The sequence below is a fragment of the Homo sapiens genome, chromosome 10 (genome assembly GCF_000001405.40).
Source record: "Homo sapiens chromosome 10, GRCh38.p14 Primary Assembly".
Taxonomy (NCBI): domain Eukaryota; kingdom Metazoa; phylum Chordata; class Mammalia; order Primates; family Hominidae; genus Homo; species Homo sapiens.
The window spans coordinates 101,867,450-101,884,936 of record NC_000010.11 but is presented as its reverse complement, the minus strand read 5'-3'; the positions used below and the strand labels follow the sequence as shown (position 1 = coordinate 101,884,936).

At 41.6% G+C, this 17,487-nt stretch overlaps 1 protein-coding gene and 1 long non-coding RNA gene across 16 annotated transcripts in view; one reads left to right on the top strand and one right to left on the bottom strand.

Moving 5' to 3' along the window:
* ARMH3 (armadillo like helical domain containing 3) overlaps positions 1 to 17,487 on the top strand; it is a 210,575-nt gene that overhangs the window by 171,237 nt on the left and 21,851 nt on the right. Inside the window, exons 25-26 of one of the 15 annotated variants that reach the window (XM_047425733.1) lie at positions 4,653 to 4,714; positions 7,014 to 7,079. The exons of 12 other annotated variants lie outside the window; for them this stretch is intronic. In XM_047425733.1, coding sequence (XP_047281689.1) covers positions 4,653 to 4,703 — 51 coding nt within the window. In that variant the 3' untranslated portion in view covers positions 4,704 to 4,714; positions 7,014 to 7,079. Of the gene's footprint in view, positions 1 to 4,652; positions 6,072 to 7,013; positions 7,134 to 17,487 lie in introns of those variants that run through there. 2 more of the 15 variants (XM_017016635.2, XM_017016636.3) reach the window with 2 other exon arrangements.
* The window catches only part of LOC101927445 (uncharacterized), a 27,911-nt gene continuing 15,504 nt past the window's right edge, over positions 5,081 to 17,487 (bottom strand). Inside the window, exon 3 of the long non-coding RNA XR_946261.3 lies at positions 5,081 to 5,162. This is a non-coding gene — a long non-coding RNA (uncharacterized LOC101927445). The remainder of the gene's footprint in view (positions 5,163 to 17,487) is intronic.

The window sequence follows — 17,487 nt, the reverse complement described above, 5'->3', positions numbered from 1 at the left end:
TCTGGATGTTAATTCCTCATTAGATATCTGATCTGCAAATACTCTACTCCATTCTGTGGTTTGTCTTTTTACTCTATTGTTAGTGTCCTTTATGCATAAGCTTTTAAAAACTTTGGTGAAGTCCAATTTGCCTGTTTTTTTTTGTTTGTTTGTTTTGTTTTGTTTTTGTTGTTGTTGTTGCCTGTGCTTTTGGTGTCAAATCCAAGAAGTCCAAGAAGTTATTGCCAAATCTAATGTTATGAAGCTTTTCCCCTATGTTTTCTTCTAAGAGTTTAGTTTTAGCTCTTATGTTTAGATATTTAATCCATTTTGAGTTAATTTTTATATACAGCATTAGGTAAGGGCATTTTGACCTCTTTTTGTATTTAACATACCTTTATGAATAAAGATTACGGAGAAGATACAACTTGCTTTTCTAAGAGCTATGAAACTACTCATAGTTTATTCCTTACTGGATTTGGCTTGTTTCTGGGACACCTTTCAAAATTGTCCTTCAGGCCCCTTGTCCCCTCTTCAACTGAGATTTAGTTCCTTTCTCTCTCCAGTGTGGCTTTTTAGTAAGCATGCATCCCTACCTGGTAGAATCATTTGATATGTCCAGGAAAATTGATCAGCCAAGGAATAAGGATTCCCAAAAAGATGAAACTAAGGGGTCAGACTGGAAGATTTAGAATGCATACCAGCTTAAGTGGTTTCTGACATTAGGAACTTTGAGTCTACTTTGATTCTCTCCATTTCTAAGGCTACTTTCTCTCTGCTTCCAGTTGTGTTCATCTCCTCTAGCTCTCTTCTCTTTTAAAGAGGACCGCAAATAATGCAACCTGAGCACATCAGTCACCCTTGTAAGCCTTCCGAAATTCTGGTCTTCAGCTTGTCCCTCGCTAGTGGCCTGCACCCTAATTTTCTTTTTGTTTGCTTGGCGGGTGTGTGTGTGTGTGTGTGTGTGTGTGAGATCTCCCTCTGTTGCCCAGAATGGAGTGCAGTGGCATGATCATAATTTACTACAGCCTCGACCTCCTGGGTTCAAGTGATCCTTCCATCTTATCCTGCTGAATAACTAGGACCACAAGTGCATGCCACCATGCCTGGCTAATTTTTTAAATTTTTTGTAGAGATGGAGTCTCACTATATTTTCCAGGCTAGTCTCGAACTCCTGGGCTCAGGCAATCCACCCACCTTTGCCTCCCAAAGTGCTGGGGTTATAGGCATGAGCACCAGGCTGCACTCTGATTTTCATTCCCCTGGGAGGATAGTTGTCATACAACTTGTGTTGCATAGATAAACCCCATGACCATTTTGTCTGTACTAAATAAATGTAGATGGCAGGTATTTAAGAGAAACTTAAATACTTGGGTTTGGATGCTTTGAGGATATCCTGTCTTGATGAGGCAATGCTACTACCTTCACAGAAGTATGCTGAAATGGAAGAGCTCTCCAGGGAGGTTCTTCTGCCTACCCCATCCTATCTGACACTCTTAGATACTCCCTCTCCTCTATTCTTACTTTTATTATTTTTTTTTAGAGACAAGGTCTTGCTCTGTCACCCAGGCTGGAGTGCATGGAGTGATCATTGCTTACTGTAACCTCAAACTCCTAGGTTCAAGCGATCCTCCTGCCTTGGCCTCCTGAGTAGCTAAGACTACAGGAGCATGCTACCATGCCCCACTAAATTTTTTTCAGTTTTGTGGAAAGAGGAGTCTCAATGTGTTGCCCAGGCTGGTCTCACACTCTTGGCCTAAAGTGATCCTCCCATCTTGTCCTCCCAAAGTGCTGGTATTATAGGTGTGAGCCACTGCACCCAGCCCTATTCCTACTTTTCAAACTAGGAAAAAGATTTTGATATTATCAGCTGCATCATATTAGAAATGCATCCACGTACGTGCTAGAGGTCTGCCACGAAGTTTCTTGGAATGATACTAATTCACAGGTGATGCTTAACCTAAGGTCCAAGAATAAATAGGCTTTAGAGAGTTAGTACACACCCTGAAATTGTGTGTGAAAATATGCATATGTCCTTTTTAAAATTATTATTATTGAAGAGGGTTCATCTTTCCTAAGATCCTCAACTGGTCTTTGACTTCCCTTTTACAACATTTTAAGAATCACTAGCTTAGCTACTTTGAAAAGTACCTCATACTTAGGCTGGGTGTGGTGGCTCATGCCTGTAATCCCAGCACTTTGGGCGGGCAAGGCGGGCAGATCACGAGGTCAGGAGTTCGAGACCAGCTGGCCAACATGTTGAAACCCTGTCTCTACTAAAAATACAAAAATTAGCCGGGCATGGTGGCATGTGCTTGTAATCTCAGCTACTCAGGAGGCTGAGGCAGGAGAATTGCTTGAACTTGAGAGGCAGAGATTGCAGTGAGCCGAGATCGTGCCACTGCACTCCAGCCTGGGCGACAGAGCAAGACTCCATCTCAGTGTTGGGTGGGAAAGTAAAGTACCTCATACTTTTCTTTCCTCCAAAGCCATCAGACCTTTGAAAATGCTCATTGAGGATCTTGAGCTTTTAGGCTGTTCACCGTTTGAGTTGGTTTACAAATGCTGTGACATGGTGATTTATATCTGCTCTTACTTCCTTATAGGCAAGAGAGGGCTTCATAGCAGACCTTTACAGAAGATTTTCTAGAGCCCTGAATATCTAGCAAACATAGTGGCAACTTAGGGTTCAAAGCAAAACCTTCTTTGAACACCTTATTCCTTAAGCTTTCAGTCACATTCCTGACCAATTTTATGCCTTTGAAATATCCCACTGGAAAGCAAGTAAATTATTGGCCCATTCTTGCATTCTTCAACCTTCATTCAGCTATCAGTATCTTGGTATTTAGTGCCTGCTCTTTGCCTCTGAGTGTGCTAGGCATTTGAGGGATACAAAAGGGCTTTTGCTATCAGAGGATGGAATAGTGCAAGAGATGGTTTAAGGCAACTTGTTATTGTTAGCTTACCAGTGGATCTATTCTGTTAGGGAAAGATCTCTGCAGACAATCAGAAAAGTGGTCAGAAAAGGCCATACGGAGGAGAAAAGAATGGAGTTTGGCCTTGAAAGAGGAGTGGTAGGGATTGGATAAAATGAAGAGGCATAAATTGTAAAGTGTACTCAAAACCAGGATCTGAAAAGGACAGAAAGAATAGAAAATAGTTCTAGCAAGTCATGTCTTTGGGTCACAGAACACCCAGAGGCTGGATGATTTAAAATATGTCAGTCATTTAATCACAGCCTCCATAATCCCTATCGCACTGACTCTCATCCCTGTCCTAAGTGTACTGCCTTTGGTTCAATTCACAAGCATTTATTAGGGGCCTGGTATGAGCCAGCCTCAATGGTAGACATATGATGAGGCCTATTGGGTAAATCTTTTTTTTAAAATTGCAGTTAAAAAAAACCCCACACATGTCACTACTTACCGTTTTAATCATGTTAAGTGTATGGTATAGTACACTTAACAATATGTCCATTGTTGTGCCACAGATCTCTAGAACTTTTTCATCTTGCAGAATTGAACAACTTCCCCCCAACCCTCAGCTGCCCTGGTAACCACCAGCCTGCTTTCAGTTTTTAAGAGTGGGCACACTTATCTTGAAGGTGGTGTTCTTTTCAACCAAGTGACCCAGGAGCTTGCTAAAAATCTCTCTACATATAAATTTAGAAATTTTCTGGGAAGAGCAGAAAGGTGTTCTGCTGGTACCCTCATATGTCACAGGGCCATAGGATGGTGTAACCAGATTCCTAAGTTTAAGTCTCCACTCTAACTAGGGCTTTGGATTTTGGATTCAGAGGAGACCTGTATAATGTTGTATAAGACATATCTTCAAAAGTATTATGACAAAACAGGTTATTCATTTGTGGGAGTAGGTTAAAGAAAATTAAGGAAATAACATGCTTTATATCTGAATGAGTGAAGGTTATGTTAGAAGCTGCTAAGTATTTTCTTATTTCCATCTATTGGTAATCTTGCTAAACCATTTTTGTCTTCTCCTGATCCTAAGAGTCATTATAAATAACTGCTGGCTCTTTAGAAATACAAATGATGCCTAGCTTTATTTTCCCAGAAAGGATCGAAGCACTCATAAGAGGAGAACCCCAGTTTGTGGGGAACAACATTGTTAGGGGCCCTGGGTGGCATCCATTACGTGAGAACATCCAGGAGAAGAACAGAAAGATCTTGGGGAAAGGGCCAGAGAACACAAAGACTTATGAGGAAAATGGAGCCTGATACTTCAGCTTGAGAGTCGTTGGTCCTTGGCGTACTAGTAAATGTTTAACAATTGCTGGGGGGCCGGGGGTTGTGGAGCTGTGAGTGGTGGGAGGGGAGCTGATTGGTAGTGTTCGGTGTGAATGCTCCCACCATGGCTACTAATGTGAAGCCAGCTGGCTGTCACCATTTTTGAAATTTAACAGTCAGCTCTCACAAGCCAAGCCTCTGTGTGAGCCATCTCCAGCACACCACAGGTTGTTGAGGAAGACTGTAAGAAGGGGGCTGTAAAGCTGTGTGGCGGGGTTTTCTGAGCAGGAGGTGAATGTGACCCACTTTCCCCATGGGAGCCACCTAAGTAAAAGTTTTCCCCAGGGAAGCTTTGGATCTCAAATAGGGTAATTGAGGCCTCTCTAAGCAGCCCACTCTGAGAATTCCTGTGGTGTTTTCTCATCTTAGAACAGGACCCGAACCATCACACAAGGCAGCCTTGGCAGAGACATGTGCTGAAGAGCTGAGATGTAAGACTCCCACGACAGCCATAACTCAGTTTTCTGTGCTTGGCATCATGTTTTTCTACAACAGCCTGTATTGTAGTCTTTCACTGCCTCCCTGTAGCCATGAATGATGGTTGCTTTGCGAATTCTCGAGTGTGAGCATGTGACACCGGCACTGGCCATCCAACCCTGCCTTCTTTGTTGCCTTTGTTTAGATTCTGGCATTTCAGCTGACCTGTTTGCAGAAAAATGTTTGATATGAGTTGTTCACCGGATTCACTACTGCCAGAAAGACACGTCAGAAGTGGGGATGAGGTGGGGTTTTACAAGCTGCTTATCCTCAGTAATCATCTTTATGTTATATAGGGCATCTTGAGAAGGCCCACATGCGAGGGTCAGCTGAACAATGATGTGCTGCTAGGATGACCACTGTCTTCCCTGGACCAGGAGATAAGCTGCACTGCCAGAGGCCCTAGATAGGAGAGAAAGTGTTTCAGATTTAAAATACGTGCAAATAGATAAAAGGAAAGGAACAACTGGTAGTTTTTGAGCTGCACACTTTTATATGGGTTATTTACTTAATTCTTATGTCATAGGTCGGGCATGGTGATTCATGCCTGTAGTCCCAGCACTTTTGGAGGCCGAGGTGGGCGGATCAACTGGGGCCAGGAATTTGAGACCAGCCTGGCCAACATGGTGAAAACCCATCTCTACTAAAAATACAAAAAAATTAGCAAGGCGTGGTGGTGGGCACCTGTAATCCCAGCTACTCGGGAGGCTGAGACAGGAGAATCTCTTGAACCCAGGAGGTGGAGGTTGCAGTAAGCCAAGATTACGCCATTGCACTCCAGCCTGGGCAACAAGAGTGAAACTTAAAAAAAAAAAAAAAAATTCTTATGTAAATTATTTGGGGTAGATGTACTTATCATTTTATAGATGAGTACACTAAAGAATCTAAGTAATTTCTTCAGGGTCACACAGCTATTAGTGGTAAAGCCATAGAGTGAACCTAGGTCTGTCTGACTACAAAGCCTGAGCTTTTTCAGTTTTATCAGGCTGGGGCATATGTGACAACCTAAGTGTGTCAGATATTCTGAAGGAAAAAGTACAGGAAAGTGGAGAAAGAAGGAAGGAGAGTGAAGATAATGGCTTATTCCCGGGGGATGGGGGAAGGTCTTAGACTGGGAAGGGCCCATTCAGTTGAGGACAAAAAACACTGACGAGGCGTCTGGGGACTGTGCCTGCCAGTCAGGCAGAAATGTGTAAGTGGAAGATCCTGGCACAGTATGGTAACTTTATAAATGAGAGAAGAGACTCTTTATTCCAATCAAGTGTCTCAGAAAGGTCCCTATGAGAAATAAAGTTTCTTCTACACACTAAAGGGACGTGATGACTTAATTTTTTTTTTTTTTAATTTTTAGAGACAAGGTCTTGTTCTGTCATGCAGGCTGGAGTGCAGTAACACAATTATAGCTCACTGCAGGCTCCAATTCCTGGGCTCAAGTGATCCTCCTGCCTCAGCCTCTCAAAATGCTGGAATTACAGGCATGAGCCACCATACCCAGCCAACTTTTTTTTTTCCTTTTTCTTTTTTTGTTTTTTTTTCTTGAGATGCAGTTTCTCTCAGTCACCCAGGCTGGAGTGCAGTGACACGATTCTAGCTGACTGCAACCTCGAGCTCCTGGACTCAAGCAGTCTTCCTGCCTCAGCCTCTCGAGTAGCTGGGACTACAGGCATGTGCTACCATGTCTGGCTATTTTTTTTTTTTTGATAGAGATGGGGTCTTACTATGTTGCCCAGGCTAGGCTGGTCTCAAACTTTTGGCCTCAAGCAGTTCTTCTGCTTTGGCCTCCCAAAGCACTGGGAATACAGACGTGAGACATGATGCCTTACCTAAAATATTTTTACTTACTTATTTTGGTAGATAATATACTGTTCAAGATCTAAAAGGTAGCACACGGAATTTTTATTTATTATTTATTTATTTTTGAAACAGAGTCTCTCTCTGTCGCCCAGGCCAGAGGGCAGTGGCGTGATCTCTGCTCACTGCAACCTCTGCCTCCTGGGTTCTAGCAATTCTCCTATCGTAACCTCCCGAGTAGTTGGGATTACAGGCGCACTTACCACACCTGGCTAATTTTTTGTATTTTTAGTAGAGACAGGGTTTCGCCATGTTGGCCAGGCTAGTCTCGAACTCCTGACCTCAGATGATCCATCTGCCTTGGCCTCACAATGTGCTGGGATTATAGGTGTGAGCCACTGTGCCCAGCCAGCACAGTGAATTTTAATTGTTTTTAAAATAGCGATTCCATTTTGTTTATAGAAAAAAAAAAGACTAAAAATGAATGTCCCACAGCCAAGCTGGATGAATGCAGAGGTCACTGGCAGAGAAGAGCTCAGCTTATTATTCATCTCTATCACTGTCAGCATTTTCTCCAATTAGGTATGAATTTTGAAATGACTGTCATATAAACTTCTGGGCTTTCTCAGGCAACTGTGAAGCTTCATTGGCAGTGCATAGAAGGGAACAGTGATGGAGGTAGTAGGAATTCTAGTAATTGTCAGCTTTAAAAAAATTTTTTTTTTTTTTAAAGACAAAGTCTCACTCTGTCACCCAGGCTGGAGTGCAGTGGCACAATCACAGCTCACTGCAACCTCCACCTCCCGGGTTCAAGCGATTCTCCTGTCTCACCTGAATAGCTGGGATTACAGGCACACGCCATCACGCCTGGCTAATTTTTGTATTTTTAGTAGAGATGGGGTTTCACCATGTTGGTCAGGCTGGTCTCAAACTCCTGACCTCGTAATCTGCCTGCCTCGGCCTCCCAAAGTGTTGGGATTACAGGCGTTAGCCACTGCACCCAGCCTAAAAAAATTTTTTTTTGAGACAGGATTTCACTCTATATCCCAGGTTGGACTGCAGTGGTGTGATCATGGCTCACTGCAGCCTTAATCTCCTGGGCTCCAGTGATCCTACCACCTCCACCTCCTGAATAGCTCACTGCAACCTCGAGCTCCCGGACTCAAGCAGTCCTCCTGCCTCAGCCTCTCGAGCAGCTGGGACTACAGGCATGTGCTACCACGTCTGGCTATTTTTTATTTTTTTTGGTAGAGATAGGGTCTCACTGTGTTGCCAGTCCCAGCTGAGTAGCTGGGACTACAGGTGTGCGCCACCACACCCTGCTAACTTTTAAAATTTTTTGTGGAGACCAGGTCTCCTTATGTTGCCTAGGTTGGTCTTGTACTCCTGGGCTCAGGTGATCCTCCCACCTCAGCCTATCCAAATGCCGGGATTACAGGTGTGAGCCACCGCACCTGGCCAGTAGTCAGCTTTTGAAGAGGTTACTGGAGACAGGAGTCCTTGCTTTCTTGGTTTAACCCAAGAATTATCTTTTATCCTGGTTACTAGATGAGAGTGTTCAGGTAGGAATTCCCACTTCAGTTTTTTTAGTCACCTTTTTTCCAGTAGATCTTGGGGAAGTTCTTTTTGTTTCCACTGCAACATCTTCCCTCAGGAAGTGGCTCAGAACTCTTTAAGATGTTCTTGGAAGAACATGGTTTGTCATTACAGTAACATCAGAGGCCACATGTGTCATTATGCAAACTTGTATCTCTATTATTAACTGTGTTGATTGGAAATGTTTTTCCCAAGTACCATAACAGCATTTTGACTTTTTATAGTAATCTTGTTGAAAAGATGTGGTCTTCAAAATGACCCACCTAGTTAGAGCCCACAGATGGGATTTCTGTTAAAAGATTCTGTTTGGGAGGGATAGATAAATGAGGTCTGGCAAAGAGACAGAGATCCCGTGTTGAATTACCAGTGAGTTAGGAACAAAGACAATGTTTTCTCTCTCCCTTTCTTAGATGTGATGTTTCCAAGAAAAGAAATTTCAGGTGGGGAGGACAGAGATGTCAGCCTCTTGGTTGGAGCTAGGGAGAGTGCCCTGCATGCAACAAGCCATAGAAAATAAGTTGTTTTTTTTTTTTTTTTTTTTTGAGATGGAGCCTTGCTCTGTCGCCAGGCTGGAGTGCAGTGGCGCTATCTCAGCTTACTGCAATCTCCGCCTTCCGGGTTCAAGCAATTCTCCTGCCTCAGCCTCCTGAGTAGCTGGGACTACAGGCGCGTGCCACCATGCCCAGCTGATTTTTTTGTATTTTTAGTAGACATGGGGTTTCACCATGTTGGCCAGGATGGTCTCAATCTCCTGACCTTGTGATCTGCCCGACTCGGCCTCCTAAAGTGTTGGGATTACAGGCGTGAACCACTGCGCCAAGCCAGAAGAGAAGTTCTAATGTGATATTTGTGTATCATGTTTCCCCAGCCCCATTAGTGTGATTGGATGCCTTGCTTGTGCAAGGTAAGGACCTGTGTGTGTTGGATCTGTAATTAGTGAAAAAAAGAAAAAAGCTTCACAAGGGGTGTCTAGGGCTTCAACCAAATAAAGTCAGGGAGGTGGGGGTGACTGCCCAGGGAAATTAAAGTCATGTCACCACCCTTTTAACCAACTGATGGCCTCTCACTAATCACCCACTGTGAGGTTCATTATCTGCTTCACCTTGCTGAAGGGCAGAGTCAGCCTATCAGATCAATAAATCTGAGGGCAGTGTAGAGCTCTTTGGTAGCAGGCTTGAAAGGCATGGATGGACTGGGAGAACTGGCCAGCTTAAATTGGGTCTGAAACTGGGTTTGGTCCTGAAGTATAGGAAATGAAAATAGAAAGGGGGGAAAAAACCTTCTGCCTATTATATACAGGGTGGCTGTATACAGGGAAGTTACCTTTTAAAAGGCAGAACAACTATCTGTAGTCTAAGAGATTTGTGTCTACCTTTTGGATCATTGTTTCCAAATAATTATATTGAGTGTTTGTACCCTGGAGAGAGATTCAGATTATCTTGGATAGAAAGTCACTATAAGCACCCAGTGGAGGGAGGGATGCTCACTCGATGAGGTCTGTGGTTTTGTTACAGTTCGCTACTCTAGTTCCTGTGCTTTTGGCTATTTTTTTTTTTTCAGTCACTTTGGGCTACTAAAGTGTTGTGGAAAAAAAGAACCAATTCTTGCCTCCAAAGGAAGCTCTCAGGACCTGCTTTGGTCTAAGAATTCTCAGCTTCTAAGTATCTTTAGTGCAGTAAGGCAGAGAAGGGTTGCCCTGGCTTAATGTTCCGCAGATTTATTTTCTTCCATGCAGAAGTACAGAAGTATGTACGCTGTGCCAAGCCAGGGGCTACAAAAATGCAAAAACCATACCTGCCCTTGAGGCCTTCATGGAGTATGTATCAGGATCACTACTTTCATTTTAGACCTTTGCCTGTGTGCACACCTTAGACCTCTCAGCTGATGTACATGAACGGAGTCTTCACAGCAGTCCCACCTGACCCTTTGTAAGCCTAAGAAGGACAGATAAACCTCCCCGTTCTCCTTGAACCCCCAGTGAAATATTGTCTCTTTGCAGATCCATAAACTATTGGCCCTTATTCAGAGTGAGTTGCCACAAGCAGAGCCATGATCATGTAGTATCTCTCATTCTTGCCTCAGTTTCATAAAAAAGGCAAAAGCAGAACCCTCGTTAGGTGTCCTTAGTAATGGCAGGACCCCAGAAGTTCCTCAGCTTAGCAAATGATTGAGCTTATTAGAAAGCCCAGGTAATTACACCCACTAAAAAACCTTCCTGTAGCTAGTCCCCAGCTGAGAATAGTTCCAGGCACTGTTGTTTGCTACCTGGAGTCAATTTAATTTGTCAGGGAGGATTATGGGGTTGTTCAGGGGTGGTGGGGAAGAGCACAATGGGAGGACTCATTAGCATTGTTGAAATACTAACTCCTAGCTTAGAGTTACTGATGTATCAGTCTGAATCATTCTTGTCCCAACCCAAAATGGAATATTAAGACCAAAAATGACACAAGCTTACTGCCCATGGCCATACATTTTTTTTTTGACTAGTCCTGATTTGCTGGACTTTTAAATTTAACTTTATTGAGGTATAATTAACATATAATAAAATATGTTTATGTAACCACCACCACAATCAAGATGTAGAACATTTCCATCACCCAAAAAATGTTCTCTTATACCACTTTGCAGTCAGTCCTCACCCCAAGTCTGGGCCATAGACAACGGCTGATATGATTATTTTCACTGTAGAGTAGATCTGTCTTTTTAAAAATTTTATATAAATAAACTAATGCAATATGTACTCTTTTATGTCTTCTTTCTGAGATTCATATACATCATGACACTCCTTGGGTGTTTACTCAAGAGAAATGAAAATATATATCCACCCAAAGATCTGTACACAGATGTTCATAGCGGTATTATTTAGGATGACCAAAAAGTAGAAACAACCTAAATGTCCATTAGCAGTTGAATGAATAAACAAAGTGTGATTCATTCATACCATGGAATATTATTCAGCCATAAAAAAAGAAGGAGGTACTGATACATGTTACAACATGGATCACTCTCAAAAACATTATGATAAGTGAAAGAAACAGTCACAAAAGACCACATATTGTGTGATTTCTTTTATTTGAAATGCCCAGAAAATCTATAGAGACAGAAAGTAGATTAGTGGTTGCTTGGGCTACAGGTGGGGAGCAGGGTGGGGAGGGACTGCTAATGAGTACGGGATTTCTTTTTGGGTTGATAAAAGTGTTTTAAACTTAGATCATGGTAATAGTTACGTAACTGTGTGAATATACTAAAATCATTGAATTGTACACTTTAAGCGAATGAATTTTATAATATATAAACTATATCTCAATAAATATGTTGAAAGAAAAAAAGAAACTGCCACGCTGGGTTTTTTGTTTGTTTTTGTTTTGTTTTGTTTTTTTGACAGAATCTTGCCCTGTCCCCCAGGCTGGAGTGCAGTGGCGCGATCTCGGCTCACTGCAACCTCTGCCTCCTGGGTTCAAATGATTCTCCTGCCTCAGCCTCCTGAGCAGTTGGGATTACAGGTGCACACTACCACGCCCAGCTAATTTTTTTTTTTTTTTGTATTTTTAGTAGAGACGGGGTTTCACTATGTTGGTCAGGCTGGTCTTGAACTCCTTACCTCATGATCCGCCCACCTCGGCCTCCCAAAGTGCTGGGATTACAGACGTGAGCCACTGTGCCCGGCCTGCCACGCTGTTTTCAAAAGTGGTTCTACCATTTCTCATTCCAATCAACGAACATACGAAAGTTCCAACTACACCATGTCTTTGCCACACTGGGAATTATGAGTCTTTAATTTTAGCCATTGGGTATGTAGTATACTTATTACAGCTTTTTTTTTTTCTTTTTTGGGATGGAGTCTTGCTATGTTACACATGCTGGCGTGCAGTGGCGTGATCTCGGCTCGCTGCAATCTTCACCTCCTGGGTTCAAGCAATTCTCCTGTCTCAGCCTCCCGAGTAGCTGGGATTACAGGCGCCTACCACCCCACCTGGCTAATTTTTGTATTTTTAGTAGAGATGGGGTTTCACCATGTTGGCCAGGCTGGTCTTGAACTCCTGACCTCAGATGATCCACCTGCCTTGGCTACCCAAAATGCTGGGATTACAGGGATGAGCCACCATGCCCAGCCACTTATTACAACTTTTTAATATTATTAGTTTTAATTTGCATGATGACTAGAGCAAGTTCAAGTGATTCTCCTGCTTCAGCCTCCTGAGTTAGCTGGGTCCACAGGTGCGTGCCACCACGTCCAGCTGATTTTTGTATTTTTAGTAGAGACGGGTTTTCACCATATTGGTCAGGCTGGTCTTGAACTCCTCACCTCAAGTGATCCACCCACCTTGGCCTCCCAAAGTGCTGGGATTACAGACATGAGCCACTGTGCCCGGCTAGAGCAGCTTTTTATGTGGCCATTATATATCTTCTTTTGTGAAGTGTCCAGATCATTTACCTATTTTTAAAATTTGGTTGTTCTTCTTTTCTTAAATTGTATTATTTATGAGTTTTTATATATTTTTGATGCAGGTTGTTACACACACACACACACACACACACGTTGTTACACAGACACACACACACACACTCTCTAAATATTTTCTCCAAGTCAGTAGCTTGCCATTTTTCTTTGCATATTCTCAGTGATGTCTTTCAAATACTAGATATTTTTAAGATCAATTTTAACTTAAGTAGATATTCATGAAGATTAATTTACTTTTTAAAGGAGTCATGCTTTTGTGTTTTATTTAATAAATCTCTGCCTACTTCTGGTTGCAAAAATGTTCATTGTACTTTCTTTTTTTCTTTTTTTTTGAGAGTCTTACTCTGTCGCCCAAGCTGGAGTGCAGTGGCACATTCTCGGCTCACTGCAACCTCTGCCTCCGGGTTCAAGCAATTCTCATGCCTCAGCCTCCTGAGCAGCTGGGATTACAAGCGTGCACCACCACACCCAGCTAATTTTTGTATATTTAGTAGAAACAGGGTTTCACCATGTTGACCAGGCTGGTCTTGAACTCCTGGCCTCAAGTGTTCCACCCACCTCGGCCTCCCAAAGTGCTGGGATTACAAGTGTGAGCCACTGTACCCGGCCTCGTTGTATTTTCTTCTGTAAGTTTTGTAATTCTGGCTTTTACATTTAGTTCTGTGATTCATTTCAAATTAACCTTTTTTATGGTGTGTGGTAAATGTTCTTTCCCCCCCGCCAAATATTCAGTTATGTTGCCATTTGTTGAAAAGACTACTCTTTCTCCATTGAGGTACTTAGGCGCATTGTAAAAAAAAATCAATTGAACATGTATGTGCAGTTTATTTCTGGACCGTCAGTTCTGTTCCATTGGTCTATACGTCTAAATTTATGGTCTACCATGTCTTGATTATTGTATGTCTATAATAAATCTTGAAATCAGCTAACCCTCTAATTTTGTTTTTTTTAAATGTTTTTGAATATTCTAGGTCCTTTCCATTTCTGTATAAAATTAGCTTGTTTCTGCAAAAAGACTGGTGAGATTTTGATTAGAATTGCATTAACTCTATAGATGACTTGGAAGAGAATTGATACTTTTAATAATACTGTTTTCATATCCATAATGGAGTAAACATAATATACCTCTCCATTTATTTAGGTCTGTTAAAATTTTTGTCAGTGTTTCGTAGTGTACTTGTTTTATGCCTATTTTGCTCAATTTATCCCTAAATATTTCATTTTTATGTCATGTAAATGGTATTTTAAATTTCAATTTCCAGTCGTTTGTTGCTAGTTTATGGAAATATACTTGTTTTTTAATTGACTTTTTTTTCCTGCATCCTTGATAAACTTATTTATTAGATTTTTGGGTTTTTTGGTTGTTTGTTTGTTGTTTGGGTTTTTTTGAGACAGGGTCTTACTCTGTCATCCAGGCTAGAGTACAGTAGCATGATCACAGCTCACTGCAGCGTCAACCTCGTCGGGCTCAGGTGATCCTCCCACTTCAGCCTCCTGAGTAGCTGGGACTACAGGCTACCAGGCCTCCCAAAGTTCATTGTTTTCTTGTGATGTCTTTGTTTGGTTTGGGTATTAGAGTAATATTGCTCTTAAAAAATGAGTTGGGGAAGTATTCCTTCCTCCCCTGTTTTTAAAAAGAGTTTGTATAGGATTGGTTTTATTTCTTGCTTAATGTTTAGTAGCATAATCAGTGAAGTCATCTGGACCTATAGTTTTCTTTGTGGGAAGAATTTATACCCAATATTTTATTAGGGAAAATTTCAAACATATAGTAAAGTTGGAAAAAATTATATGGTGAATAGCCACATAACCCTCACCTAAATTCTGTTATTTACATTTCACTCTACTTGCTTTATCACATGTATAACCCATAGGATAGATCTCCATCCATCAATCCATCTTTTTTTAATGTGTTTCAAAGTAAAATGCATATATCAGTATACTTCTGTGGAAAACATTTTAATTGTTAGTTGAATTTCTTTAATAGATTTAGGAATAGTCAGTTTACTACTTGTTCTTGAACCAGTTTTAATCATTTGTGTCTTCAAGGAAGTTATTCATTTATGTAGGTTGTTGAATTTATTGGCATAATTCGTTCATAAAATTCTCCCTGTTCCTTGAAATCCCTGTAGGATTTATAGTGATGCCCTCTCAAATTCATGATATGAGTAATGTGTGTCTTTTCTCTTCTGTTGCTTATCAGCCTGGTTAGAGGTTTGTCAATTTTATTAATCTTTCAAAGAATTAGCTTTTAGTTTCATTGGTTTTCTGTTATTTTTCTTTTGTTTTCTTTTTAAGACAGGATCTCACTTCGTCACCCAGGCTGGAGTGCAGTGGCGCAATCTCTGCTCACTGCAGCCTCCACTTCCCAGGATCAAGTGATCCTCTGGCTTCAACCTCCTGAGTATCTGGGACTACAGGCTTCCGCCACCACACCTAGCTAATTCTTGTATTTTTTGTAGAGATGGAGTTTTGCCATGTTGCTCAGGCTGGTCTCAAACTCTTGAGCTCAAGTGATCCACCCCCCTCAGCCTCTCAAGGTGCTGGGATTACAGGTGTTACCACTATGCCCAGCCTGTTATTTTTCCTTTTCATTGATTTATATGGTTATCTGTATTATTTCCTTCTGTTTGCTTTGATTTAATTTGCTCTCTTTCTAATTTCATAAGGTAGAAATTTAGGTCATTGATTTTAGATCTTATTTTCTAATATGAAAAGTTAGAGCTGTAAATTTTTCCTGTGCTAACAACATCTCACAAATTTTGGTAGGTTGTGTTTTCATTTTCATTCAGTTTAAAATATTTTCTCATTTCTCTGGTGATATATAGTAATGTGTTTCATTTCCATTATTTGGGGATTTTCAAGATATATTTTTGTTACTAATTGCATATTTAATTCCCTGATGGTCAGAAAATATACTCAGTGTGATTACAATCCTTTTAAATTTATTGAGAGTTGCTTTATGGTCCATTGTACAGTCCATCTTGTTGAATGTTCTGTGTGCATTTGAAAAGAATGTGTTCCCTTGTTGTTGAGTTGTTTTCTATAAATCGCTTTTAGAAGTTAAGTATGTTGGTAGCTTTTAAATATTCTCTCTTTACTTATTTTCTGTCTGCTGGTGACCCTTAAACAACACCCAAGTTAGAGGCACTGGCCCCCTGTGCAGTTGAAAATTTGCATATTTTGACTCTTCAAAAACTTAACTGCTAATAGCCTACTATTGACCAGAAGCTTAACCTCTTTTTTTTTTTTTTTTGAGACAGAGTCTCACTCTGTCTCCCAAGCTGGAGTGCAGTGGCACAATTTTGGCTCACTGCAACCTCTGCCTCCCGGGTTCAAACGATTCTTGTGCCTCAGCCTCCCAAGCAGCTGGGATTACAGGCGCCTGCCACCACACCCGGCTAATTTTTGTATTTTTAATAGAAATGGGGTTTCATTATATTGGCCAAGCTAGTCTTGAACTCCTGACTTCAGGTGATCCACCTGCCTTGGCCTCCCAAAGTGCTGGGATTATAGGCGTGAGCCACCGTGCCTGGCCCAGAAGCTTTGCTGATAACATAAACAGTTGATTAACCCATATTTTATATATGTATTATATACTGTACTCTTACAATAAAGTTAGAGGAAAGAAAATGTTATTAAGAGAATCATAAGGAAGAGAAAATGTATTTACTATTCATTAAGTGGAAGTGGGTCATAAAGATCTTCCTCATCATCTTCATGTTGAGTAGGCTGAGGAGGAGGAAGGAGGACAGGGAGGGAGGGGTTGGTCTTGCTGTCTAAGGATGGCAGAGGCAGAAGAGGTGGAGGAGGTGGAAAGGGGAGGCAGGAGAAGTAGGCACACTTGGTATAACTAACTTTGTGGAAATCCATCATAATTTCTGTCTAACATTTTTACTTTTTTATTTCTCTGAAAAATGTTGCTATATGGTACCAGTCTTTTTCCACGATTTGCTTTAGTTCTATTGCCTGTATCATAGAATGGTTCATGTTGTAAAAGAAGTCAAAAGCAGTCTTGAATAATTGGAAACCTTCATCCAGATTGTCTAATGTCAATTTGTTTCTTGGCTCTGCTTCTTCTATGTCTTCTTCCTATTGTCTGGCACTGGTTGGGGAAGAACGCATCTCCCTCATGTCTTCTTCTGTTTATTCCTCTGATGTTGTGTCTGTTAGCTCTGGAATTTCTCCAAGATCCATATCTGCAACCTCTTTTGTAATTTCCTTGATTTGACTCTGTAGTAAATCCTGTGAAGTCATGCACAACATCTGGACACAGTTTTCTCCTGCAGAAATTTGTTGTTTTGGACTTGATGACTTTCATGGCTTTTTCCAATTCTTTTTTTTTTTTTTTAATAGAAACAGGGTCTCACTATGTTGCCCAGCCTGATCTCAAACTCCTGACCTCAAGCCATTCTCCTGCCTCAGCGTCCCAAAGTGCTGAGATTATAGCCATTAGACACCACCCCCAGCCTTTCATGGCTTTTTCTTTTTTTTTTGGGATGGGGTCTCACTCTGTCATACAAGCTGGGGCGCATTCACGTGATCACTGCTCACTGTAGCCTTGGCCTCCTGGGCTCAAGTGATCCTCCCACCTCAGCCTCCCGAGTAGCTGGGACCACAGGCATGCACCATCACACCCAGCTAATTTTTTATTTTTTGTAGAGGTGGGGTCTCACTATGTTGCCCAGGCTGGTCTTGAACTCCCGGATGCCAGCAGTCCTCCCACCTTGACCTCCCAAAGTGCAGGGATTACAGGTGTGAGCCACTGCACCTCGCCCATGGCTTTTTCTGTAACAGTGATGGCATCTTCAGTGTTGTAATCCTTCCAGATTTTCATGATATTCTCTCCAATTGGGTTTTCTCCCACAGCATTGACAG